The sequence below is a fragment of the Homo sapiens genome, chromosome 7 (genome assembly GCF_000001405.40).
Source record: "Homo sapiens chromosome 7, GRCh38.p14 Primary Assembly".
Lineage (NCBI taxonomy): Eukaryota > Metazoa > Chordata > Mammalia > Primates > Hominidae > Homo > Homo sapiens.
Window position 1 is genome coordinate 103,140,885 of NC_000007.14, and position 27,446 is coordinate 103,168,330.

At 43.5% G+C, this 27,446-nt stretch overlaps 2 protein-coding genes and 2 pseudogenes across 38 annotated transcripts in view; 1 reads left to right on the forward strand and 3 right to left on the reverse strand.

The window, feature by feature from the left end:
• The window catches only part of NAPEPLD (N-acyl phosphatidylethanolamine phospholipase D), a 50,226-nt gene extending 41,109 nt beyond the window's left edge, over positions 1–9,117 (reverse strand). For 16 of the 36 annotated variants that reach the window (NR_169877.1, NR_170071.1, NR_170072.1 and 13 more), the window contains exon 1: positions 7,927–8,215. The gene's annotated coding sequence lies outside the window, so the exon portion shown is untranslated. Of the gene's footprint in view, positions 1–5,335; positions 5,458–7,076; positions 7,221–7,476; positions 7,567–7,926; positions 8,439–8,987 lie in introns of those variants that run through there. The other 20 variants (NR_169881.1, NR_169882.1, NR_169880.1 and 17 more) reach the window with 8 other exon arrangements.
• RPL19P12 (ribosomal protein L19 pseudogene 12) lies at positions 386–1,519 on the reverse strand (annotated as a pseudogene). Its single transcript, NR_026660.1, has one exon. The product of NR_026660.1 is annotated as a ribosomal protein L19 pseudogene 12 (transcript).
• On the forward strand, positions 882–27,118 carry LOC105375434 (uncharacterized). The gene is made up of 3 exons (XM_047421168.1): positions 882–957; positions 8,134–9,680; positions 25,022–27,118. The coding sequence occupies exons 1-2, from the start codon at positions 882–884 to the stop codon at positions 8,934–8,936; spliced, it is 879 nt and encodes a 292-aa protein (XP_047277124.1). The 3' UTR covers positions 8,937–9,680; positions 25,022–27,118.
• On the reverse strand, positions 10,934–11,459 carry RPL23AP95 (ribosomal protein L23a pseudogene 95; annotated as a pseudogene).
• Positions 27,119–27,446: the final 328 nt, after the last annotated feature.

The following is a 27,446-nucleotide window of genomic DNA, read 5'->3' on the forward strand; positions in this document are numbered from 1 at the left end:
GCACTTTTCCCAGAGCTTGAAGCTCCAGTTAAACAGATTCTTTTGCTCAAAGGAAAAATTTCCCACAATGGGAGCTGGCAAAATAGGCAAGCAAGGCCAGCTCTACATAAATCACGAGTAAATAAGTTTCCCCTAAAGCATTTCAGTATTCTTGCCTCTCTTACCCAAGTGACTCTACTATCATATTGTTCCCCCCATCTGCTTTTTCCATGGCCAAAACAGGTTTTCAAGAAAGATCTGATTTCCAGTGTGTGACAGATAAGGAACAAAGTGCAAATCCTCCCTAGATCATTTCCAGTCCACATGGGTACAAGCCCTGAAACCTCAAATGTACATCAGAATTACCTGTGGAGTTGTTTTTTTTTTTTTTTTTTTTTTTTTGCAAGCAGATAAAGGCTTATTTTACTTTAATGGCTGATCTATGTAATCACGGAGGCCAGTATGTACACACAAAGGGGCAGCTTTTATTTCTTGGTCTCTTCCTCCTTGGACAAAGTCTTGATGATCTCCTCCTTCTTGGCCTGGAGGTGCTCTTCATAGCTCTTGTGTGCTTCCTTGGTCTTAGATCTGCGGGCCTCAGCCTGATCAGCCAGGAGCTTCTTGCGGGCCTTGTCTGCCTTCAGCTTGTGGATGTGTTCCATGAGAATCTGCTTGTTTTTTAACACATTCCTCTTCACCTTCAGGTACAGGCTGTGATACATGCGGCGATCAATCTTCTTAGATTCACGGTATCTTCTGAGCAGCCGGTGCAGAATCCTCATTCTCCTCATCCACGTGACCTTCTCTGGCATTCGGGCATTGGCTGTACCCTTCCGCTTACCTATGCCCATATGCCTGCCCTTCCGGCAGGCCAAGGTGTTTTTCCGGCATCAAGCGGGGGAATGGACCATCACAGGCTTGCGGATGATCAGCCCATCTTTGATCAGCTTCCGGATCTGCTGACGGGAGTTGGCATTGGTGATTTCATTGGTCTCATTGGGGTCTAACCAGATATTCTTCTTGCCACAGCAGAGGACACTAGAGGCAAGCCTCTTCTGAAGCCTGAGCATACTCAAGGCTGCAGCCACAGCAGCGAAAGGAAAGAGCTCCCCTGTGGAGCTTTTTAAACTACACCAGAGGCTACTGAATCAAAATGTCAGGTGGGGCAGTTTCTCTAGATAATTTTTAAAAGTTCTGTGGGTGTTTCTGATATACAGGCAGGGTTGAGAACCACTGCTTTAAATCATTAGTCATTTGGCACAAAGTAAGACAAGCATTTAGGAAGGATCAAAGGGATTTTCTGGTATGCCAGAATTTATGCTAGCCTGGCAGCTGCCTACCGTAAAGCCAACTCTTACTTCCTGTTCAGCACTCCAAGTTAGAGAGGCAGCATCATCCTGAAACTGCTATACAGTGGGATGGGAAGACTAACCACATTGCTAGGTAGAAAGTTTAACAGGGGCCAGGCATGGTGACTCATGCCTGTAATCCCAGCATTTTGGGAGGCCGAGGCAGGTGGATCATTTGAGGTCAGGAGTTCGAGACCAGCCTGGCCAACATGGTGAAACCCCATCTCTACTAAAAATACAAAAAATAGCCAGGCATGGTGGCAGGCGGCTGTAATCCCAGCTACTTGGGAGGCTGAAGTGGGAGAATCACTTGAACCAGGGAGGCAGAGGTTGCAGTGAGCCAAGATCGTGCCACTGCACTGCAGCCTGGGTGACAGAAAAAAAGAAAGTTTGACAGGGCAAGGCTTGTACTCAATCCAACTGAGTCACAAATTTGACTCTGTGCCCCCAGGAAGCCAAGTCAAAAAAAGGGAAATATAATCAGTAATGATTCACATTGTCAATAACACAAAGCAGCCTGTACACAATGAGTGCACAATATTTATGGAATGAATAAATGAAAAAACCAGAGCTTAAACTCCTAATCACTCTTCATTAGGATACAGTTAATTGTTTTTTAAAAGATCTCCTGCTAGGAGTCAAATAATAGAAGCAAAAATGACCAGAAGACAGAGAGACAAAAGTCAACAGTGGAGATCCCCACCAACTCTGCTAACAAAAATTAAAACTGGCCAGGTACAGGGGCTCACACCTGTAATCCCAACACGTTGGGAGGCCAAGGCAGGCAGATCACTTGAGCCCAGGAGTTCAAGACCACCCTGGGCAACATAGTGAGACTCTGTCTCTACAAAAAAAAAAACAAAAAAACAAAAAAACAAACACACACACGCAAAAATTAGCCAGGTGTGGCGGGCTGAGATAGGAGGATTGCTTGAGCCCAGGAGGTCAAGGCTGTAGTGAGCCGTGATCATGCCACTGCACTCCAGCCTGGGTGACAGAGCAAGAGCTTGTCTAAGAATAAATAAATAAACATAAATAAATAAAAATAGAAAAGTCTTGGGGAATAATTGAGTAGTTAAATTCTATGTGGTAAAGCGGCAGCACAGTGGTAAAGACGAAAAGATGCCTGCCATAAAATCTAGTGTTCTTTAATCTGTCATGTATTTAGAAAAAAAAAAAATCTTCTCTTCCTTTTCTTCTCAGTAACAGAACCCGTTTTACTTAGGGTAACTATGCATCAGCTAAATGATGACATTTCTCAGCCTTCTAGCTAGGGATGGCCAGGTTGGTGACACTTTGAACAATGTGATACGAGCCTTTTATGGTGCTTCCAGAAGTCTCCTTAAGGGAAAGGGAGGCATTCTTCTCGATTTGTCCTGCATCTGGCTACCTGGAGCCATCTTGAGCCAGGAGGGTGCCACATCCAAGGAATGGCATCGAGGAGAGCCAGAAGGACTTCAGGGCCCACCATACCAAGCCTGAACTGTCCAACTTTGGACTTCTTTCATGTGTAGGAAAAACATATTTGAGCAATCTTTCAAATCACAACAAATTAATCCTAACTGATACGATTACCGTAACTGGGAGGTTCAGGTTTAGGGGAGCTATAAAAACACCAATGGTAACAAATGCCCAAAATACAGCTTTCCTAATCCATATGTGGGTGCCTTGATCAACACACTGCAGCCTTGAACTCCTGGCCTCAAGCAATCCTCCTGCCTTGACCTCCTAAAGTGCTGGGATTACAGACAGGAGCCACGGCACCTGGTCCATTTATCATTTACTAAGCATTTACTATGTACCAAGCACTTTAGATAATTATTATCCTCATGCTATAGGTGATGTAAAAGAGGCTCACAGAGTTTAATAGCTTCCATAAAGCAATAAAGTTGTTAACAGTTGGATCTAGGGATGAAACCCAAGTTGACCAGATGCCAAAGCCCATGCTCTTTCCACTAATCATGTTGAATCTACAAGGAAAATTCAATAAATTTATCTTGAGTAGATACCTAGGTTCTAAAGTTAGTAGCATTTTGCAAACAGTTATGGTCTCACTGACAAGGCTCACCTTTTCTTTTGTTTTGTTTTTTTGGCTTTCAACAAAATTTTCTCCCCTTTTGCAAAGTAAAAGGTACTTGGGAGATGCTCAATAAATACTAGTTCTCTTATAAATATAATTGCCCCTTTAATTTTACATGAAGAAGGTTTCAAATGCTATAACTTTCATTACTCAATTTTTCTAATTTACAGTTACATTGAAAAGAACCATCAACAAATAATTGGTTCTGTATTTTAGTCACATAAACAAAATACACATGGTACCTTGAAGACATTTCCTTTGCTTTCAAAAGGTGTCTCAGTTTATCCAGCATAAAACCACCTAACATGTTATCTTTCAAGCTGGGGAGAATGGCTAGTCAAGTCCCATAAAGAGAAACTGTCAGGTAGGAGGATCAACATATCTAGTTTGCCTGAGGATTTCCCAGTGTTAACATTTAAAGTCCTGCATCTTAGGCCAGGTGTGGTGGCTCACACCTGTAATCCCAGCACTTTCAGAGGCTGAATGAAGCAAGCAGATCATTTGAGGCCAGGAGTTCGAGACCAGCTTGGCCAACATGGCAAAACTCTGTCTCTACTAAAAATACAAAAATTAGCCAGGCATGGTAGTGCATGCCTGTAGTCCCAGCTACTCAGGAGGCTGAGGCACAAGAATTGCTTGAACCTGAAGGTGGAGGTTGCAGTAGGCTGAGATTGAGCCACTGCACTCCAGCCTGGGCAACACAGCAAGACTCTTGTCTCAAAAAAAAAAATTCCTGCATCTTGGGAACTCCCTTGGTTCTGGGAAAACCTGGAGGGTTGATCATTCTATGTCTCAGGTGACCATATAAATGCATAGTCATATCTTCAAAAAAATTTATAAATGTGTGCGCAGTTTAAACTAAATTGAAGATGAAGATTATAAAGTAAGATGTGAAGGTATTCGGGTGGCTAAGCAAAAGAAAAAAATTATAATGCTATACGTAATCAGGCTTAACTAAGACAATGTTGCTAAGAATACCAAAAAAGTTTATTAGATCAAATTCTTCATTCTGATGATATTCAATATGTGCATCATCAGTATTAGCGTTCACCCAGCTAAAAAAGAGGCTCCAAACAGCACATGTACATTTATATACAATCGGCATTTAGTCTACACATAAAAGTGAGACACTATATGAGGAAAGATTGAGAAAGAAAATCAACTTTCAGCCAAGAATTGTAAAGTATTTCATATCTGTGAAATGGTGGAAAAGCCTAATTTCAATGTTTCAATTTTGAGGTAATCATGACAGGCTAAACTCCTGTGACAGCAGAAATTAAAAATATGCACATTAAAGAGATTGGACCAGGTACATTCCCTCTAAGGTCCCTTCCAACTTGAACATTCCATGACAGAAGTCATCACTTGTGTGACCCTTTTACCTAATCGGTAAACCAAGTCAGGCCAGAGAGTTACATGACATTCCAAGGATCTAGCTCTGGCTGATGATGGAGCCTGGACTACGTATCAGCCATGCTGTCACCCTAATTATGCTTAAAAACACTTGGAACCGAAGGGGCATACAATCAGCATAGGAAGATAAATGACACATTTTACTTTATGTGGGGTATTTTACTTAGTTTGGCTTCAAGTTTAAAAAAAAAAAAAGAATTTGAGTCCAGAAACTCTTTAAGCTTTCATTGGCTACTTTTACCATAAAATAGCACAACATTCTGGAAAACACACACACACACACGCACGCACACACATATATGTTCAGAATATATAGACAGCTTAGTTTAGAGAGCTTTCCATGAGCTCTCTAAACAAACTGAAGGAACAAACACAGTAACTTGAACAGAGAACATCTTTGTAATTGAAGGACCTTCAAAATACAGAAAATAATAACTTTCAAAACTAATGACTGCTGTCATCCGGGTGTCCTATTAAGATGTGACCAGTTTTAGCTGGGTGTGGTGGCACATGCCTGTAATTCCAACTTCTCAGGAGGCTGAGGCATGAGTATCGCTTGAACACACGAGGCACAGGTTGCAGTCAGCCGAGATTGCCCCACCGCACGCTAGCTTGGGTGACAGAGCGAGACTCCGTCTCAAAAAAAAAAAAAAAGATGTGACCAGTTCAAGAGTGCTAGTGACAATGAGAAAGCTTGGTGTTTCTCTATTCATTCTTGTAATTGAGAGAGATTACAAAATCACGCAGAAGCCTACAGGCATTCAGTGTTAAATCAATATATTACTGTCCCTTAATCTGGGAAGGTGCCCAAATTAGATAAACACAAGAGTCTGCACCTTCAAGGGGAAAAATGGATTGTTCCAGGTAGCAGGCACAAACTGAGTTGTTTTTCAATCAAGATTTTGAATTATGCTGATCCATCTACATGCCAGACCTGTGCCTCCAGAGCCAACAGCACTGGCCATTCACAACCTGTTACCCACAGGCAGGGGTGCAATCTGTGAGTGTGTTGCTGACCAACGCTTGCTAATCCACACCCCTCCACTTTCGCTTCATTGGAACCCCGCTGTAACAAGAGTCTGCAGTGTATATATTCTGCTGAAGGCTGGGGCTGCTGAGCTAAGGTTCCTTGGCCAAATCACCAGACTCTCCCAGGCTCTTGGTGTCCTATTTTCCTCATCTGTGGAACAAGGCTCATATTTTATGTCTATAAAATCAAACTCTCTCTATATATATACATATATTTAAAATATTTGAAAGAGCTTTGTAAATGATAAAGTTATAATACATTATTTAACCAGCTGAGGTTGCAGAAGACTATCTCTAACATAAAACTGCCCCTGGGGATATATGAGTTCGTATGCAATCTGTCTCCAAAGTCTGTTAGTAAAATACTTAAATACACAATAAATGGTTAATAAATTCAAAAGACAAATCAAGCAAAGCACTATAAATTGTAGACAGAATTATTCAGTAGTATAGGCGTTAGAATGAAATATTACTTGAATCTTATGCTGGAAATCACATGGGTGATATTTTAATGCCAGTTTTATGCATGCCCTCACTGGCCTCCAGAATAAAAGTGCTCTTTAACGATTAATTATACATACAGTTCATTTCCCTAATAATACTTCAATGAAAACACTTTTTATGTGTATGCATTTCAACCTAAAAAGCCCAGATCAACAGTCCTCCAGCTATAGCTATATTCTTATTTACAAAGTGTAGAAAGCAATGGAAAAACTCACTATATCCACAGCTATCCATCACCACAAAGAAAAAGCAGAATGAAACAACAAAATTAAAGGCAAATACTGCTTTTCCAAACACAGACTAAATGTTCATAAAAATCCTCTCAGTTTACCAAACTCACAAATACTCAAAGTAACATAATACCCCTTTCGAACAAACACAAGAATGACTGTATCAACTAAAGTATAACCAAAACCCTGTGATGGAATGCTTATGCTAAAATGTTCTTCATATAGTTATAACTGGACTAATTTTAAAATTAGAATTTTGTAACATAGAATTTCTACAATATAATTTGGAATTCTGAGTGAAAATAAGGGTATGAGAAATACACTAAGTATTTTTATCTCTTGGAGACTTACCATAATTCTTGTAGCAGGAAAGCCTGCAGAATGTTAACAAAACAAAATCTCTGAAAATCCTGACTATATTTTCAGTTGACTTGAAACAAATTTAACCCCTCAATCTCTCCTTAAATTATTATTTTAAATAAGTACTTTTACCCTAAATTTCTTCTTTAACAGACCCAGTATTTTCTTGCAACAAAAATCACACTATTGTGGGATATAGGTAATCTTCTTTTTAAAGATTACATAACTTCTTTCTAAACGATGTCCATGTCTGCGGCTAATTCATAACCAATGTAACTGAAAATAGAAATGGAAATGTTAGAGATTTCCATTTTTTAACAAACATGGGAATTATTTCTCAATTTGAAGAACTGCATCTCAGGAATGACTTCCTGGACAAATTAATCAGAATTATCAAGTAGCAAACATTTCATGCTAAGCCAAAGCCAACCAGGTGAGTCAGTCATATTATAACATGTATATATAACAACGTACAGTAAAGGCAAAGACAAGAACTAAATGACTTTTTAAAAGGCTGTTAAACTTTACTCACTCCCTTAATATTTTCCAGGTTTAACTGACGTATAATGAATGCATGTGATCCCGGAACCCATGGAAGAGTATCTACCATATCGAGCTCTAGCTTGAAAAAAAAAAAAAAGGAAAAAACAAACAAACAAAACAACAACAACAAAAACCTATCTGAATACGTGTTCTGAAAAGCCCACAATAATACCCAATTTATAAGAAGCAAACAACCACAGAACAGAAAACTCAAGAAAGCACAGCCTTCCACCACCCCTCCCCAGCTAGCCCCATTTTTTTTTTTGCTCTTCATTTCCATTCCATAGTTAAATAAGTACACTTATTCCAAAATAAAAGGGGAGAAACCTGTTGGAATGGATTTTTAGAAGATAAACACTATAGATGAAGCAACAATAAGTTGCTCGGAGGAAGTTGTCGACCCATTCATTTACATACAACCAAAAGAAGATAAACCCACATGTATTCCTATCAGTGAAGATGCAACCTGGTAATTTGCAGGGAAGATAGGATCTCAAATCCCAGACAGCTACTCTCCCAAAGAGAAAAAAAATAATGCTGTGGCTCTTCACCGAGGCAGCTTCAGAGATGCAGGCTCCGCAACTCGCGAGGTGCGAAAATTCAAATGAAGCCCTGTCGCTCACAAGTGCGGCATCTCCGAGATGAGGGAGGGCTCGGGGACGGGAAACCCACTCTCAGCCCGCTCCACTTCGCCGAAGAATTCCAAACCACCCCAGGCTCAGCAGTGTGGATTGCTCCGCCCAGAGACCGTGGAGGAGGCAGCAGAGAGGTCACAGAGCACAGCAGGCGGGAGAAAACCGCCTCCCGCGAGGTCCAACAGAAACCACGGAGCTCCGGACACTCGGGATCCCGGGCCGCGGGCGCGCGGCCAGAGCGGCGGGGTGCGAGCGCGGGGGTGCGGACTCACCTCGCGCTTGGGGTGGCCGGGAGCGCGCGCCGCCTCAGTTCCGCGGCTTCCGGCCACAGAGTCCCCGCGCAAAGCGCCGCCGCGTAGCGGGAGGGGCGACCGCGGCAGGCGCTCGGGTTCTTCCTAACCCGAGCCCGCCGCGCTGGCTCCGCCGAGGACGCCAGCAGCTGCAGGCAGCGCTTCAGCTCTCGCCGCCTCGCCATCGTTGGGGCGAGTCGTCGCCGGGTCACTCCCTTATTATGACCTTCGAATCTGACAGCAGGGCCAGCGGTGGCCTCCTTCAGGCTGCCTCTCCAGCCCTTACCAAGATGGCCGCCCCTGTGGGCCGGGGCGCCGAAGCCATCTTGGTAAAGGAAGCGCCTGGGAGCACGCGGCCTGCCCCGGCCCGCCTCGCGACTCAAACACTCTGCAGGGACCCTCCTAAGATCAAATTGGTTCCCCCCGCTGTCCTAAGCCAGAGGCTTACTTTCAGATCGCATGAACGCATTCCTGGACACCAGCCACAGTTGCTAAAACTAAATGGGATCCTGCAGACCCATTGACGGACTGTCATAGCCAACTCAATCACAGTCGAGAAGCATTTGAATACTTACAGCCTATGGCGCTAGGATCCTGGTAGCGAAGAAACTAAACTCTAATTTGAAATGTTGTACAGTACGTATTGAATATTAATGGGAGCACGGCATTGTTCACTGTGTGATCGTTTACTTTTAAAATGATGTCACAGCCCCCTGGTACACACGGTTCTCATCTAAATTTGCATCTTTTTTAACGCTAGGATAACTATGAAAGAGCATACGATTGTGATTCTGAGTTTCTTACTGGATTTGCTTTTTAAACTGCAGAATGAAATTAGTTGTTTCAAGAAGTAAAGTACAGGCATGTCGAAGTAAAATTCAACAATGGGTTGTTGGGCAAAAAGATTATAAAAGTCCTGGGGTGTGCCAGGGTCAAAAAAAAAAAAAAAAGCTTGTCCCTGGGGTTATCTTGGCAAAAAAGAAACCACCACCACAGGTTCTAAATGCAGATAAGACTGGCAGAAAAATGCAGACCAAACTATTCTGCATTTTGAAAGTGAATGTGCCTGTGTGACATTGGAGGAATGTAAAGAACTGTATGTCAAGTGTGGACTTTATCTCCTCAGGCTAGCTTAGAGTGGCTGCTGAACTTAAGGGTGATTAAGAGCTGCTTGCACCTGGGTGGAGCTGAAACTGCATAAGGTGAATAATACCTTTGTGCAACAGAAGAAAAAAAAAAAAGTAACAGCATACATACAAACCCAAAGGGTAAGTTGAAGTTACTACTCAAAAGTTCTTCATAGTGTTCTTGACTAAGCAACGGAGAAGTAATCCCGGCACTTTGGGAGGGCAAGGCAGGAGAATCCTTAGAGCCCAGGAGTTGGAGACCAACTTGGGCAACATAGCGAGACTTCATCTCTACAAATAATAATTAAAAAAAAAAAAAAGTAGCCAGCCTTGATGGCCCGCCCTTGTGGTCCCAGCTACTCCAGAGGCTGAGGTGGGAGGATCGATTGAGCCTGGGAGATCAAGGCCGCAGTGAGCTGTGATCACGCCACTACACTCCAGCCTGGGCAACAGAGAAGACCCCATTTCCCCAAAAAAAAAAAAAAAGCTGGGCGCAGTGGCTCACGCCTGTAATTCCAGCACTTTGGGAGGCCAAGGCAGGAGGATCACCTGAGGTCAGGAGTTCGAGACCAGCCTGGCCAACATGGCGAAACCCTGTCTCAAGTAAAAATACAAAAACTAGCTAGGCATAGTGGAGCTCACCTGTAATCCCAGCTACTAGGGAGGCTGAGGCAGTAGAACTGCTTGAACCCCAGAGATGGAGGTTGCAGTGAGCAAAGATGGCACCACTGCACTCCAGCCTGGTAGACAGAGCAAGACTCTGTCTCAAAAAAAAAAAAAAAAAAAAGATGCCCTTTGTTCCCCTCACTCCCACTCTTTTTTTTTAAGTCCTTGTCCTTTATTGGTTAAGGCTGAGGGAAGCAGACAGACCAGTTGGACATAGTAGATGGGTGTGTGAGGTCAAAGTGCTACCTGAAAGCCAGCCAACCCACACTCCCCTAAGATGAATGCTAATGCCCTTCAAACTGTGGGCATTGGTTTCACACACAGCCTCTTCCAGGGATAAAAGAAGGGGTTCTTGTAAAGCCTCTTCTTTTTTCTTTTTTTTTTGAGACGGAGTCTCGTTCTGTCACCCAGGCTGAAGTGCAGTGGCCAGATCTTGGCTCGCTGCAACCTCTGCCTCCCAGATTCTCCTGCCTCAGCCTCCTGAGTAGCTGGGACTACAGGTGCCCACCACCATGCCCGGCTAATTTTTGTCTTTTTAGTGGACATGGGGTTTCACCATGTTGGCCAGGCTGATCTCGAACTCCTGGCCTCAAGTGATTTGCCCGCCTGGGCCTCCCAAAGTGATAGGCTTGAGCCACCGCCACCCGGCAGCTTCTTGTTTTCTTACCTCTACCATGGAGACAAGTTCTGGTTTTCTTAGGACAACTAGCTCTGGTCATAAAGATCTCTGGAGTGATCAAGTATGGTGGAGTGGCAGAGTGAGTGTTCCAAAAGGATAAGTAGAACAGGAGTCTTGCCCAGGCCCTATTACAACCTCAGTACCTTGAATGGCCTCCCCAGCCCAACCAGAAGTTGACAAAGAGGCATGAACCTGGTGAAAAGATACATGTATTTATAATTAGCCAGCTGGACTCAGTTTAGATGACCCCAATTTTGTTGGCAATATCCCAGTTTTGTTGGGTCAGCAACAAAGTTGATCCCAATTTTGTTGGCAATATCCAAAGCATTGTAATCAGGAGCCAGTGGAGCTTATGCCTTCTTCCTGCATCAGGCCTAATCAGGGCATGGACTTTGGCCACATCAGTGTCATAGAGCTTCTTCACAGCCTGTTTGATCTGGTGCTTGGTGGCTTTAACATCCACAGTGAACACAAGTGTGTTGTTGTCTTCTATCTTCTTCATGGCAGACTCAGTGGTCAGAGGAAACTCTGTGACAGCATAGTGGTCAAGCTTGTTTCTCCTGGGGACGCTCTTCTTAAGGGAGGAGACCACCCCTCATATTGTCTTATGCCCAGTTTCTGCCTCCAAAGAAAGAAAAAGTAAAAACTAAAAGGCAGAAATGAAATCCACAAGCAGACAGCCAGGCACCACACCCTGGGCCTGGTAGTTAAAGATCGACCCCTGACGTAATTGGTTATATTATCTACAGATTGCAGACATTGTATAGAAAAGCACTGTGAAAATCCCTATCCTGTTTTGTTCCGATCTAATTACGGGTGAATGCAGCCCCCCAGTCAAGTACCCCCTGCTTGCTCAATCGATCACGACCCTCTCACACACACTCCGTTAGAGTTGTGAGCCCTTAAAAGGGACAGGAATTGCTCACTCGGGGAGCTCGGCTCTTGAGACAGGAGTCTTGCCAATGCCCCTGGCCGGATAAACCCCTTCTTTCTTTAACTCGGTGTCTGAGGAGTTTTGTCTGTGGCTCGTCCTGCTACATTTCTTGGTTCCCTGACTGGGAAGCGAGGTGATTGGTGGATGGTGGAGGCAGCTCCTTAGGCAGCTTAAGCCTGTCCTGTGGAACATCCCTGTGGGAGACTGTGACCAGACCAAGCGACACGGATCCTGAGAGCGCTCCCGGGTAGGCATTTGCCCCGGTGGGACACCTCACCACAGCAGTGTGTGGCAGGCCCCCGTGGAGAATCAACGCAGTGGCTGAACACCGGGAAGGAATGGGCACTTGGAGTCTGGACATCTAAAACTTGGTAAGACTAATCTTTGAAACTTGCCCATTCTGTTTGAGTGGAAGCGTGGCCTGATCACCCATGGCGTGCCTTTATCGGCACTTTGGTTTTGGTTTTGGTTTTGACTTGGTTTGAATTGCTTGGCAGGACTGGTCTTGGGAACTTGCCCACTCCATTTGAGTGGAAGTGTGGCCTGATCACCCACAGCATGCCTTTATCGACACTTTGGTTTTGGTTTTGACTTGGTTTGAATAGCTTGACAGGATTGGTCTTGGGAACTTGCCTATTCCATTTGAGTGGACGCGTCGCCTGATCACCCACGGTGTACCTGTACCCGCACTTTGGTTTTTGTTTTTGACTCTACTTAGATTGCTTGATACTTTGGTTTTGGTTTTGACCTGGCTTGGATTTCTGGATACTCTGATTTTGGTTTTGATTTTGGTTTGGTGGAAACTGCAAAAGTGTGTGTGTGCCCTTTTTACCTGTTGTTTTCTTGTGTGCGTGTGGCGTGAGTGTGGTGTTTTGTCTCGAAGAAGCATAGGTCAGGCACAAATAAGCCCACCCTACCAGGAACTATGTTGAAAATTTTCAGAACAAAATGTAAAGGAGACTATGGAGTACTATGACACTAGGAAAATTTAAAACTTTGTGTAAATTAGGCTGGCCAGCGTTAGAGGTAGGTTGGCCATTAGAAGGAAGCCTGGACAAGTCCCTTGTTTCAAAGGTATGGCACAAGGTAACCTGTAAGCTGGGGAACCTAGACCAGTTCCCGTACATAGACACTTGGTTACAGCTGGTTTTAGACCCCCGCCCCCAACACACAGTGGTTGAGAGAACAGCAGCATAAGGGGCTGGCAGAGGCAGGGAAAGAACAGCAGAGAGAGAGAAAGGAAACAGACAGAGAGGAAAAGAGGCAAAGGGAGAGAGGAAGAGACAGACAAAGAGGGATTTAAGGAGAGAGAGAAAGAGAGAGGCAGAGAGAGAGAAGAGACAGAGGCAAAAGGAAAAGTCAAAGAGAGAGATACACAAGTAGTTGAGAAAAAAAAAAGTGTACCCTATTCCTTTAAAAGCCAAGGTAAATTTAAAACCTATAATTGATAATTGAAGGTATTCTCCGTAACCCTATAACACTTCAATACCACTTTGTTGTCAGTGTAAACAAGGGCGTATCCCAAAAGCACTGAGGCCATCCTATCAAAAATCCTTGACCCAGTAACCCGTGGATGGCCCAAATGCATCCAATCTGTAGCGGCAACTGCTTTGCTAACAAACAAAAAAAAAGGTAAGAAGAAAAAATAACTTTTAGGGGAAACGTCATTGTGATCACACCTCACCAGTTCAGAAGTATCCTAAGGAAAAAAAAGCGGGGGCAGAATTTATATTAAAAAAAGTATTATATGGTAAATTCTTGTCCTGAAATAAATTAACTGGTTGTTTAAAGAAAGAAATATTTGTAATAAGTCAGAAAGTTGAGGCATGTTGAAGAATTGTCTGCGAAAGTCATGAAAAAAAGTTATAAAAAATTTATGCAAAAAATGTTGTATAATTTAAAAGTAACTAGGCCTCCTGAATGTAAAACCGTTGAAAAAAAAAAAAGAAAACAGTTTATGTGCAAGGTGTATAAGAAAAGTAAAATATACCTTTGGTAAAAGGATTATAAGGAGGCCTAAGAATGTACATTTTTACCTACATTAAAAAGTTAAAAAGAATTATTGTTTTGAAGGTTTAAGCAAGTTTTAAAACGTTAATTGTAAAGAAAATGCTGTTTGTAAACATATTAGCTAAAGTTAAAGAGGTATCATCCAGTTTTTCTGTGAACTGGACAGTAAATTAAAAGCATAACAGGTTTTTCTTAAAGCACCAACCTGCTCTTTAGTAAAAATTATAGAAGGTTAAAGAGTCTATAAAATCTTTCCTAATAGTCAAACATTAAAAAATTAAGTAAATATGTTTACAAGGTTTTATTAAAATTAGGTTTAACATTAATAACACACTAATATAAAGATAAAATTTAGCTTATCTGGTATAAAAATCATGTGAGAAGCATTGTTAAATGTAAAATGGTATTTGGCTTTCTTTGGTTTAAAAACTAATAAAAATAGGTTCTAAAGGAAATTTCTCAGTAAAAAAGCACTAAGGACTATAAAGTCCACTGCCAAGGTCCCCATATTTAAAACAAAAGGTCAATTTTCTTAAAAATTATATACTTGGTTTATCTTCCACTTTCCTTTCTCGCAAAAAAAAAAAAAAAAAAAACTGAAAGTCTTTTAGCACAGGTACCACCCCTAGAATTTCTGGTAAACCAGCACCAGCCTGAAGATCACGTTATCATCAAAGGGTGGAAAGAAGAAAAACTGGAGCCAGCCTAGGAAGGACCCTACCTTGTGCTGCTAACCACCAAGACTGCTGTTCCTACAGCAAAAAAAAAAAAAAAAAAAAGGATGGATTCATTACACCCAAGTCAAGAAAGCGCTACCCCCTCCACAGTCATAGGCCATAGTCCCAGGGGAAAACCCTACCAAACTAAAGCTAAGAGAAATTTAACTCTTTTCATCTATTCTATTGCTCTTTCTTCTTTCCTCGTTCTATTGCTGACCATCTAGTTATTAACATAACCAAGTCGATTTCACCTCAAACTATTGCATTTAATGCTTGCCTTGGGAACTGGTCTTGGGAACTTGTCCACTCTGTTTGAGTGGAAGCGTAGCCTGATCACCCATGGCATGCCTTTATCGGCACTTTGGTTTTGGTTTTGGTTTTGGTTTTGGTTTTGGTTTTTGACTTGGTTTGAATTGCTTGACAGGACCGGTCTTAGGAACTTGCCCACTCCATTTGAGTGGAAGTGTGGCCTGATCACCCACGGCATGCCTTTATTGGTACTTTGGTTTTGGTTTTGACTTGGTTTGAATAGCTTGACAGGATTGGTCTTGGGAACTTGCCTACTCCATTTGAGTGGAAGCATGGTCTGTGAGGACTTGCCAAGTCAAAGACAGCTCTCTACTTCAGAAAAGCACTTCTGTCCCTCCTGACTCTCCTCAGACTGGGCATTAATAAACTAGGACCATTTAATCCAGGGAGATTTAGATAAAGACCCCAGTGCCAACAAGGAGTCTTGCCCCCCGACGTAGAGCTTTCATGCCATAGTTGGTCCAATGTTCTGTGGACCACTAAAGAGCAAGGATGGACTGCCCCAGCTGGTTTTGTAATTTCCTAAAACCATACATTCATTTTAGTAGAGGATGATAGAAGTTAAAGACTTAAAACAAACTTTAGCAATTAAGACAGGATACCAAGATGCAAATGCCTGGTCAAAATGGATCAAATATTCCATCTGCATGTTAAACAAAAGCAATTGTTATGCTTGTGCACATGGCAGGGCCAGAGGCCCAAATTGTCCCCTTTCCACTAAGGTGGTCCTCCAGTTGGCCAGGTGTGGGCTGCATGGTAGCTGTTTTCCAGGATTCTACAGCCTGGAGTAATAAGTTGAGCCAGTGTTTCAAACTTTCTATGATGAACTAAATGCCAGTACCAGAAACTACAAGAAAAACAAGAAATTTGTTTTTGCAATTAGCCGAGCATGTAGCCCAGTCTCGCAATGTCACTTCATGTTATGTATGTGGAGGAACTGTAATAGGAGATCAATGGCCATAGGAAGGCCGAGAATTAGTACCTACAGACCCAGTTCCTGATGAATTCCTAGCTCAAAAGAATCACCCTGATGATTTCTAGGTCCTAAAAGCCTCCATTATTGGACAATATTGCATAGCTAGAGAAGGAAAAGAATTCACTCACCCCATAGGACGACTTAGTTGTCTGAGACAGAAACTGTGTAATGGTACCACAAAAATAGTCTCTTGGTGGAGTTTACATCACACAGTGAGAAATCCGTTTAGTAAATTCCCAAAGTTGCAGACCATGTGGACCCACCTGGAGTCCCACCGGGACTGGATAGCCCCCACTGGATTATACTGCATATATAGGCATAGAGCTTATGCCAAATTACCTGACCAGTAGGCAGGTAGTTGTGTTATTGGCACTATTAAACCATGTTTCTTCCTACTGCCCATAAAAACAGGCGAAATTCTAGGCTTCCCTGTCTATGCTTCCCATGAAAAGAGAAGCATAGCTATAGGAAATTGAAAAAATGATAAGTAACCCCCTGAGAGAATCATACAATGTTAGAGGCCTGCTACTTAGGCACCAGACGGCTCGTGAGGATACCAGACTCCCATTTACATGCTTAACCGAATCATACACTTAAAATTCATATACTAAGTCCCCATCCCCAAGGGCTGACAGTTTCATTGGACAGGCAGGGTAAGCTAGAAAAAAATATATAGCAAAATATGTGATTCAGAGAATAAGTACTAAAAGATTTCCAAAGGGAAGAGATGATGGCCAACATGATTTAGTTTTCAGGGAATAGGCGAAATTTGGTCTAGGCCATGCTGGAAGGCTAGATTTTGTTTTAATAGAAGGGAACATGGCAAAGGAATTATAATCAGGGAGCTATATATTTCTAAAAACGCTTCCTCAGTGCCTGGCACACAGTCGGTGCTAATATGAACACTTTAAGCCTCTTCAGATGAGGAAGGAAGGGAAGAAACAACTAATGTAAGTTTCAGGAATAAGTGAATGGATTAAAGAGTGAATGAATGAGGTAACTAATGAGTGGAACATGAAATGCCTGGAGTACCCCAATCTGAAGCCTGGCTTTCAGAGTTCCCCAAATCTAATTGGGCCAGAGCAGGCTTCTCCCCCAAGGGTACTTAGTTCCCCCTACTATGAAGGTGGCTTTAGGAATACTGGGAGGCAAAAATTCTACCTCTGGCCTCCTCTTTGGGCCAGAACTTGCTTTCCTCCAGCTTGCTTCTGTTGACTCCTTTTCAGAGGCCTGAACCTTCCTCTCACCTGCCCCCAGACACAGGAAGATTTGGGACCAATTCAGCTGGACATCGTATGGTCGATCTCCTACCTCCATTATCTAGGGTGGGAACCTGGATGTTTCACACAATGTATCCTCTCACTCCTAAGCTGTTCCCTCTACTCAACCTTGCCTTATGCTTCCTGGGGTCAGAGATCTGTTCCTGATACACTCAGCTCTTCTCTGTAGCTTCCACCCCTTCCCAGAAGACCCTTCTCCTATGACAGGTTCATTCTCCCACAGCTCCACTCCCTCCCTCCCCAAGCCTTCTTTTTCCCTCCTGGAAAACTCCTCTGAACTCCTTTTTATCTCCGCTCTTTGTCACTAGTGTCTTGTGCAGACTGCCCGTCAGCTCACCCTTGACCTCACCAGCATTGGCCCCAGTCCTTCCAGCTCCTACCAGTGCTAGGAATGACTTCAACACTGAGCCTGTGAGCCCCTTGACATCCTCATCTCCAGGGACCTGCACTCCCACTTCATGTCATTGACCAACACTTATGGTCTCACCTTGCACCATATCATCACCCCAGTCTGGCTTTGCCTCTGCATTTTAAAATTCAAACATCCAATCCTCTACTGCCTCCAAGTCTGTTTGGTATTCTATCTTCATCCCAGGGCCTGTCACTGCACCTCCCTCTGCCAGGATCTTTCCTTGCTTGGTCCTTCTGTCTCATCCACGTGACAGAATGTTACTATCCAACTTTGGATCCATACCCATGCTATTTACTGGAGTGCTGGAGAAATCCCACAACTTAGAAGGCAGGAACCCTATGGATTCATAGTTTCCATTAGCAACTGGATCCCACATACTGGCTTCTACATTCTCCTAATTCCAAACTCCCAAGAAGATACAGCAAATGTCCACTAGTCTCTTAAACCTGCTACCCTGTCACCAACTCCCACACCCCTAAACATGGCCTTGCCTCTTACTCAATGGAGAAACTGGGCACCATCAGAAGGAGCTGCCACATACCCTCCGACTCACCAAAGAGTCTGCTTCTTACGCCAGTGTAAGCACTGAACAGGCAGGTGGGCGTATGGGTCTGAGACTGAGGAGAGCTGGCCTGTAGACACAGGTTTGGAAATCTTCAACAAAAAGACAATAATGAGATTGCCCAGGGAATGTGTGTGAGGTAAAAAGAGCCTAGTTTTTGAACTCTAGAGGACATCAATGTTTGTGAACAAGAGATATCTGTAAGGGAGACTGGAAAAGAGCAGCCAGAGAGATCACAAAACCCAGGAGCATGTGGGTCAGAGAAACCAACAGAAGGAAGTGGTCAGCTGACATGATAATGACTGGCGTGTCCTGTGAACCAGAAACATGGAGGTCTTTAACCATCTTGGTGAGAGCAGTTCTGTGCAGTATTAGATGAAGATGCCAGACTTCTGTGAACTTGAGTGTGACTGGAAAATCCTTCTGAGGAAAGCACAAGGACTCCTAGAAACCTCTGAGGAAGCAGAGATAGCAGGTATAAGGGACTCTGCCAAGGATGTCTATGCATGAAGGAAGGAGAGAGATCTAGTGGTTGCCTTGGGGAGATGCTGGTTTAGTGGAGAGTTCTAATGAAGATAACAGCCATGTGATTTGGGCATGCTTAAGACTGTAGAAAGGCAGCCAGAAGAATGGAGAGATGACCAAGCAGCTAGTTAGTAGAGGGAGCACCATCCCCTGGAAGAGAGGTTGGCTGTGTCCAGAAGAGGGGCTCCTCCTTGTGATGGGGTGTCTTTTAGTCACCTGAAACCCCAAGTCTGCTTTTCCTCCAGTCTCCTTACTCCAGCAAGTGGCACTACCATTCCCCCTATTCCTTTATCCAGGCAGTCATCCTGCTGATTCTGTCTCATTAATGGTCCTCAAATCAATTCATTGCTTTCCACCCTCAATGCCATGATCCACAGTCGTTTTTCCCGTGGTCTTCAGCAGCAGCTCTAACTGTCCTCTTTGCATCTTCTCTTGTTGCCCATCAATCTTCCAGAGAGCTGTTTCCAATATGCAAATCGAATCATGTCACTCCTTGTTTTGAAAACCATTCAACACTTCCAACTGTGTCGACATGGCTAACTAGGCCTTCAGGATCTATGTCACACACCGTCTTCCTGCCCCTTCTTCTCCAGCCTTGCCTCTCACCATTCCCCAGTGCCCTTCACCATTTCCCAGTGCCTCTCACCATTCCCCAGTGCCCTTCACCATTCCCCAGTGCCCCTCACCATTTCCCAGTGTCCCTCACCATTTCCCAGTGCCCCTCACCATTTCCCAGTGCCCTTCACCATTCCCCAGTGCCCTTCACCATTTCCCAGTGCCCTTCACCATTTCCCAGTGCCCTTCACCATTTCCCAGTGCCCTTCACCATTTCCCAGTGCCCTTCACCATTTCCCAGTGCCCTTCACCATTTCCCAGTGCCCTTCACCATTCCCCAGTGTCCCTCACCATTTCCCAGTGCCTCTCACCATTCCCCAGTGCCCTTCACCATTCCCCAGTGCCTCTCACCATTCCCCAGTGCCCTTCACCATTTCCCAGTGCCCCTCACCATTCCCCAGTACCCTTCACCATTCCCCAGTGTCCCTCACCATTTCCCAGTGCCTCTCACCATTTCCCAGTGCCCTTCACCATTTCCCAGTGCCCTTCACCATTTCCCAGTGCCCTTCACCATTCCCCAGTGTCCCTCACCATTTCCCAGTGCCCTTCACCATTCCCCAGTGCCCTTCACCATTTCCCAGTGCCCTTCACCATTCCCCAGTGTCCCTCACCATTTCCCAGTGCCTCTCACCATTCCCCAGTGCCCTTCACCATTCCCCAGTGCCTCTCACCATTTCCCAGTGCCTCTCACCATTTCCCAGTGCCCTTCACCATTTCCCAGTGCTCCTCACCATTTCCCAGTGCCCCTCACCATTTCCCAGTGCCCTTCACCATTCCCCAGTGCCCTTCACCATTCCCCAGTGCCCCTCACCATTTCCCAGTGCCTCTCACCATTCCTCAGTGCCTGATGCCCTCTCTTCCCTGGACATGCACACATATTGTTATCTTGGATGGCCACCCTTCTGTCCTGCCCAGGCCCTGCCAGTTCTCCTGGATGACTCTGGCTCAGTCTTCACATCTCACTTAGAACTCAGATCCTGAAGGAACTCTCTTCTCTTCCTGTAACCTAGACCTTCCCCTGTCATATCTCTTACCACACTGTTTTTGTTTTGTTTTGTTTTGAGATGAAGTCTCGCTCTTGTCCCCCAGGTTGGAGTGCGATGGCGCAATCTTGGCTCACTGCAACCTCCGTCTCCCAGGTTCAAGTGGTTCTCTTGCCTCAGCCTTCCGAGTAGCTGCGATTACAGGCACGCACCAGCACACCCAGCTAATTTTTGTATTTTTAGTAGAGACGGGGTTTCACCATGTTGGTCAGGCTGGTCTTAAACTCCTGACCTCAGGTGATCCACCTACCTCGGCCTCCCAAAGTGCTGGGACTACAGGCGTGAGCCTTACCACACTGTTTTATTTGTCCACTTATTTGTCTGATTTCTTTGTTACACTGTAAGCTTCTTGAGCCTGTTATGGGGTGAGGAAAGTGGAATTGGGCTGAGAGAAGTTGAACTTCAGTCCAATCCAATAGGGAACTCCGGAGCTAGGATGCCCCTTCAAACTCATTGCAAGTTGCAGTAAGGGTCCCAAACCTTTGACATTCACATCAACCTATTATCAGTGCTGACTGCTTCCAGTGAGCGGGAGTAACCTTGGGAAGGCAGCTCCCTTCAGCCGAGAGCAATTGCCAAAGAGGGACTCAGTTGGAAGCCCTTAGCCACCAACACCCCTGTCATGCTGAGGGGAGGAGGGCTTCAGACCTGAAGGAGGAATCTGGGTGGCCACCACAGCATCTGCTACCAATACCTTTGGTGGCTCAGGGCCACCAGATACAGCATAGGTGCCTATTAAATCTTTGTTGGTTAATGATTGATTACGTGATTAAATGAATTAATTAAATCACAGAAAACAAGTTTAATTACATTAAATGACTCGAGATTTAGGGCCTTAAAGAAGGGCAAATGTTTTATTTAGAAATAAAAAACTAGTGAAGGTTCTTGAGCAAAACACTAATGGATTTTAAACAGGATTTGAGGAACATTGTGCAAGTAGATATGTTATGAGGGAGTAAATTTGTGATGTGGGCGGTGTGGATGGCTGAGATGACAGCAAGAATGTGGACGGGAAGAAATCCTAGGGGCTGGGAGGCTGCTGCTTTAACAGGAAGGATGAGGTATGGCACGCCTGTAATATAATGTTTAGAGCATGACAGGACAAATATGAGACCAGCTGAAAGGTTAACTCTTTGGAAAATATGTATGATTGTACTTGACCTCATTACTATTAATAGGTTCAAGCAAAGATTCTCCCATTTTGAATATATTAAGTAATAGATTAGATGTAAATTCCTTGAAGGCAATACTGCATCCCCAGTGCCTAGGGCAGTAGCTACACACACTACATGCATAGTACATTTGTTGAATAAATAAGTGGATCAAATCTTGACTGACAGAACTCTAATACAGATTCCTAATGATTAGGAAACAGATTGGTGTAAGTCTAGACCTTCAAAGTATTCACTGTACATTTCTAAACTATAGTTACTTTAGAGTAATCTTGCAGATATATTTTAAAACTAAGAGATTTATTTGTTTTACTTACCAATCAGGCATTAATTCAATTCACCCCCTGTCCCCCCAGTGCCATGAATCATGGTTTGTTCTTAGGAAATGAACCTTAAGGAAATAGCTGGAAACATTTCATTGCCTTGGCAAGATGACCTGAAGCACACTCTGCTCAGCAATGCTGGAGTGGGTGAACTCCCTACTTTTACTTTTGCCAGCCAAGAAGCTCCCTGTTGTTACAGTATCCAGTTTGTAGCAGGCAACTGATTAGGGAGGAGTCGCTGGTAAGGAGTCTTTTGCTTTTAAAAGAAAACTAACTGACATGAATTCCAGCACCTGATTTTTGCACCTGGACTATGAACATCGTGTCTGGAGGAGTCAAGGCTGCTCTGGCAAGAGCTGAAGTATAAAGTGCAGTGAAATTGTGCTCTAGCATTGGCGTCTTGCTTGCAGAGCAGTGTACACCATACTAGGTTTCTAGCAGCTTTGGGAGGAATATGCCATGTGTGTTCTGTGCAGTCTCAGGAGGAATCAAAACAAGTGATTCCCAGTTGCCATTGGCCCTGAGTTAATGAGAGAATTGGAGGATAGAAGATAAAAAAAAAAAAAAAGACCTTAGTCCCATACTTTCTGGCCTACCCAAAATGGCTTCTTTTATGGATGCAATGGACAAAAGAGGAAGTGGCATCAGCTAAGCACACAGAGGAAGAAGTGGCATCAGCTAAACGCACAGCCCAAAATTCCATGGTTGGTCCATGGACTTCCACCCATGTTTTGAGGGTTTCCACCTCTGGTTGGGGGTGACTGAGGTTGTGGGGCTGGGTAATGATGTTAATGATATTTTACGGCCAGTGCTTTTCCTCATCCTGAGCCTGTCTCAATACTCAGTTGTTCAATGTGTGGAAATTAGTGAGGGTTAAGTTGGGCCTCTGGATTCCCCCAAAGAGATGCCACAATAATACCCCCCAGTGATTGTTTCAAATGATGTGTATTGCTTTGTGTGAATCAGCATTTAGTCACACTTGGATCTTAAACAGTCTTGAGAGCTAGTTGGAACTGCCCAATCTATGCTTATCATAGCACTGCAATTCACACGCAGACTTGGTGTTTGTTCTCCTTTCCTCATCTCTCATGAAAAAAAAACACAACTAGGACCGTAAGAACCGACACACAGTTCCTTCAATGTCAGCTTCAAAGTTCTAATCTGCAATATTATTTTCTTCATGAGAATTAGACTTGCATGGAGAATCTGATGTTAGTTACTTTACATAAGGCAGACAACCATGTAATACAAGATTTGGCCCTCCATAGCAATCCAGGACAGCCAGAGAATGCTTGGCTATCTCTGAAGCCCACTCCAGCCAAAGTGGGTAAATAATGAAATGATGGGATGCTAAACTTCCACTGTTCAGTGTGTTAAACGCAAACGTTCAAAAAAATTAATTTGTCTCACTCCAACCTTAGGTATTCTGAGTTTCTTTTCTGCTGTGACTATTTTGGACAAATGCCTGTAATCCAGAAACCATGGAACAAATAAGACAATTAAAGGAGAAAGAGTATAGTGAGACCAGGGGACCAAGGACCTTAACAAAGGCAGCCCAGGGAATGAAGACATGATGGAGGGAGAGGAGGAAAGCTAAGGGATGGGCAGCTCATTGGAAGCTGGAGGCAGAGGTGACACTGATGTTTGGAATCCCTCATGTGGCTGGGTATGATGCCTCAGGGAAACTTCTCTGGAGCCCCAGAACAGGCCACTGCTGAACCCCAAGCCTGCATCATCCCTTCACTGGGATTCCAGGCACAATTTTATTTTAAAGATGGCAATGCTGCTATAAAAAATAAAAGCAAGCAAAATATCTAGGAAGCTTGCTTAAGATGCGCTTTATCAGCTCCTGTCCCTAGAGAATGAGTTTCAGGTGAGGTCTTTGTCTGCATTTCTAGCCAGAGGACTATGATGCACATGGATCTTGACCGCACCTTGCAAAATGCTGGCCTGAAAGGTGGTTTAAGGGTCATTACTCCAAAGGAATCAGTTCTGAGTGTTTGGAGGTCACACTTCTCACTAAATTAAGGGTTTTTTTTTGTTTTGTATGTGTGTTTTTATAGATATGGAGTCTCACTATGTTGCCCAGGCTGGCCTCAAAATCCTGGGTTCAAGAAATCCTCCTGCCTCAGCCTCCCAGAGTACTGAGATTATAGGCATGAGCCACTGCACCTGGCAAAGGTTTTTCAGTTTTTTTTAACTTTTTGCTCCTGTTTTCCATTTTTTGAGGACAAATATTTTCTCATATTCCTGTATTAGGAATATTTAATAATCTATACATTTGTGAAGGACACATTCAGAAAAAGTAAACAAAATTTTAAGAAATCGTGGGAAAAAAATAGAGTCATATTTCCACAGTTTATCCTTCATCCTTTTTTTTTGCTTTTTTTTTTTTTTTTTTTTTTTTTTGAGACAGAGTCTCACTCTGTTGCCCTGGCTGGAGTGCAGTGGTGTGATCTCGGCTCACTGCAACCTCTGCCTCCCAGGTTCAAGCAATTCTCCTGCCTCAGCCTCCTGAGTAGTTGGGATTACAGGCGCCCAGCACCATGCCTGTTTAACTTTTTTTGTGTTTTTAGTAGAAACGGGGTTTCACTATCTTGGCCAGGCCGGTCTTGAACTCCTGACCTCATGATCTGCCCAACTCGGCCTCCCAAAGTGCTGGGATTACAGGCGTGAGCCACTGTGCCCAGCACCCCCCCTTTTTTTAGAATCATATTTTGGAGGAATAGCTATTGAATGTCCATCATAATTCTGTTTTAGTAGTTTAAGATGAATCTTGGAAACAAGTCTTAAAAATGTTGCCAAGAGAATGAGGTAGGTAACAATAGAACATGTACTATTTATAAAACTTTATTAAGAGGTTACACAGATATATTATTTTGGGATCTGTGGAGTTAGACTATTTCAGAGCTGGTGTCATCTAACCCTTTTTTTGGAACCTGAAATTGGGGGGAAAAGGAGTAATGACACTGCTCAGTGGATGCCCATAGGCTGCTGCCTCTCATCCCTGCAGCTCTGGCAACATAACAATTACCTGGGAGGCTCTGAGAAATGCTGGTGCCCAGATGTCACTCCAGGCGAATGCAATCAGAAAAGGATGGCATCTGTACCTTTTAGAAGTTTCTCAGGTGATTCTGCCAAGCGGGGAGCCCGAGACCCACAGCTTTAGGGAAAAGAGAAATGACCTCTTTGCTCATTCCTTATGATATGATAGATTTTTAACATATATATCTAAAAGTAAATTTATCTTTACCCAGGGTCTGTACAGTAAAAGGAAAAGATAATGAGGTAACAAGTAATGCAGAATGTCTCTCTGATCACAAGTCAAAATGTGGAAGTGCGTTTCACACATCAAAGGTGGGACTTCGTTCCTGGCACTGATCTCTATTTGAGCTCCGCTTTTGTAGACTCTACAACAATTAGGTTAGCTCATGAATGCTAATTTATCCCACAGGGCACAGTAGATATACAGTAATGGCTAGAAAATGGTTTGAAACTTTAACCTGGGATGCCAGAGGTTTGCCTCCCAGACCCCCACTTGTCTCCTCTGCTTGGCCCCAGCTTGGCTGCAGTGCAGGCAACCAGAGCAGGACTCACCCTATCTCCCCTCTCCCTGGAAGAGAAACAGAAAGAGCGTGATGATGATGGATGGAGGAAGGGAGAAGTGAATCAAGGTGCAAGACTGAGAGCTGATGAAGAGTCATGAAATATCTTGGAGAAAATTTTCTCAAATACCCTTTTTTCCTGGAGTTACTCAAGCACAAGATACATTTCTGGAGTCAGCCAAGAAACAGGCCCATGGAATTTTAAGAGTCAAGAAAACAAAAGAAATCCAGGCTTAGCCAGCCTATAGATTTGTGTATGGGCATGATACAAAGCATTAATGATACATTTGTTCTTTATGCCCCAAAATTAGAAGACTGATACACCATCAAGGAAAACCCCCAGAAAAGGGAAAAGCCTTACAATAGCAAATAAAAAGAGCCCTACAAAACTAGCCTTTACCAAGTTCTAGGGACTGTCTAAGGATATCACATATACTACCTTGTTTAATTCTCACAGGCGCCTACAAGATGCATCCTTTCATTATCCTCAATTTGTAGGAGAAAGAACTCAGAGAGGCTGAGGAAACTTGCTCAAGGTTATATCACTAGTTAGCGGTGGAGCTGGGGTGTGAACTCAGACCACTGTTCCTAACCCTTGACACTACACTGTCTTGTGAGATGGACAATTCATAAAAGATAACAACATGAGTTTTTTTCCCTTAAAACTAAAAATTGCTTCCTTGAAAATAAAGATGCTTAGAGCCGACCCTAAGAATCACAGCCCATCCTAAGAAAGTATGTTCAGTGCAATTGAGTGTGGCAAATTATGGGGATTAACTTGAATTCTCTTTATGTATTACAAAGTAAGTCATTAGTAGACTTTGGAACTCTGTTGTTAGTAACAAATGTCTTACACCCCAGCTCATTGCAACACCCCAGTGTGCTGTGATACCACCATGGCTGGGAACCATTGGCCTGGAAAATAGACCTAGGCAGAAAGATATTTATGTAACTGAGTTGAAGAAGGTAGCTGGAAGGTGCATGAAGCTAGACATTGGCAGTGTGTGTCAGGTGCTACAGCTTAGGGCCTTCCTGGAAAATGGGCAGGAAAAATAGACGGTGACAAAACAAACACATCAGTATTATGGGTAAGCCTGCAGAGATAAGTTCTGGGGCATTCTGCTGCCTGCCAAGACTACATAAGTCCCAGGAGCCACAGCATTTGTTGCATAAGATTAAATCACTCCAAGCTGAGAATTTCCCCCTTTAAAGGAATAAATGGCAAGCCATGGGGGAAAGAATGAGCCAACGCTTCTAGGACATGTGTGCCTCCACTTAGGCATTTTGGTCCCTTGACCCTCCAAGACATTGATGTGACTTTGGCCAAGTCACTGGTTGTTACCAAGAGGGGATGAAATACATGTTTCCCTAAATCCCTTCCAACTCAAAAAATATGGGATACTTTGAATAAAATGAGATTGGTACAAAATTCTGATTACCTTTGAGAATGTCTAGCTCTGATTGCTAGATTTTCACTGCATATTTTCCTCTAGCCTTCAATTATCTCCCAATAATTTACCCCCAAATCTTTATTACTTCAAATGAATAGACTTTTCATAGAGCCCTACTGCATCTCTAGTCCACAGACACTAAGACATACATTAGCATTATTAAATTGTAAGCCAAAGACATATCTATATATCTAAATACTGTGTTTGCATGCTTTCCCTGATCATTATGTACTTTTTCCCCATTCCATTACCACTTAAAATGCATTTTGTGATATTTCATTAAAGAGGCATAATTACATTAGAGAAGTTTGTTTTCAGACATCAACATGTGCCTTTGGGTTACATTTCACATTATGAAGATGGACTTAAAAGAGATAACACCATTTAGTGTGCTAATTATCACAAGATTCTCAAAGTGCGCCAGACTCTAGGTGCTTTTGCTGTTTAAGAAATGTGACTGTAAAAACTTCCACTCATGAAGCTTAGCATGCATTGACTACCTACTATGGATTGGGCTTGATATTGAGGATAGAGAAGAACAAAACAAGTCTAGCAGAGCAGGAAAGTGTGTGTGTAAATACGTTGTAGCCACCACCCTCTGGAGTGGCTCTCCATTTCACCAAGAA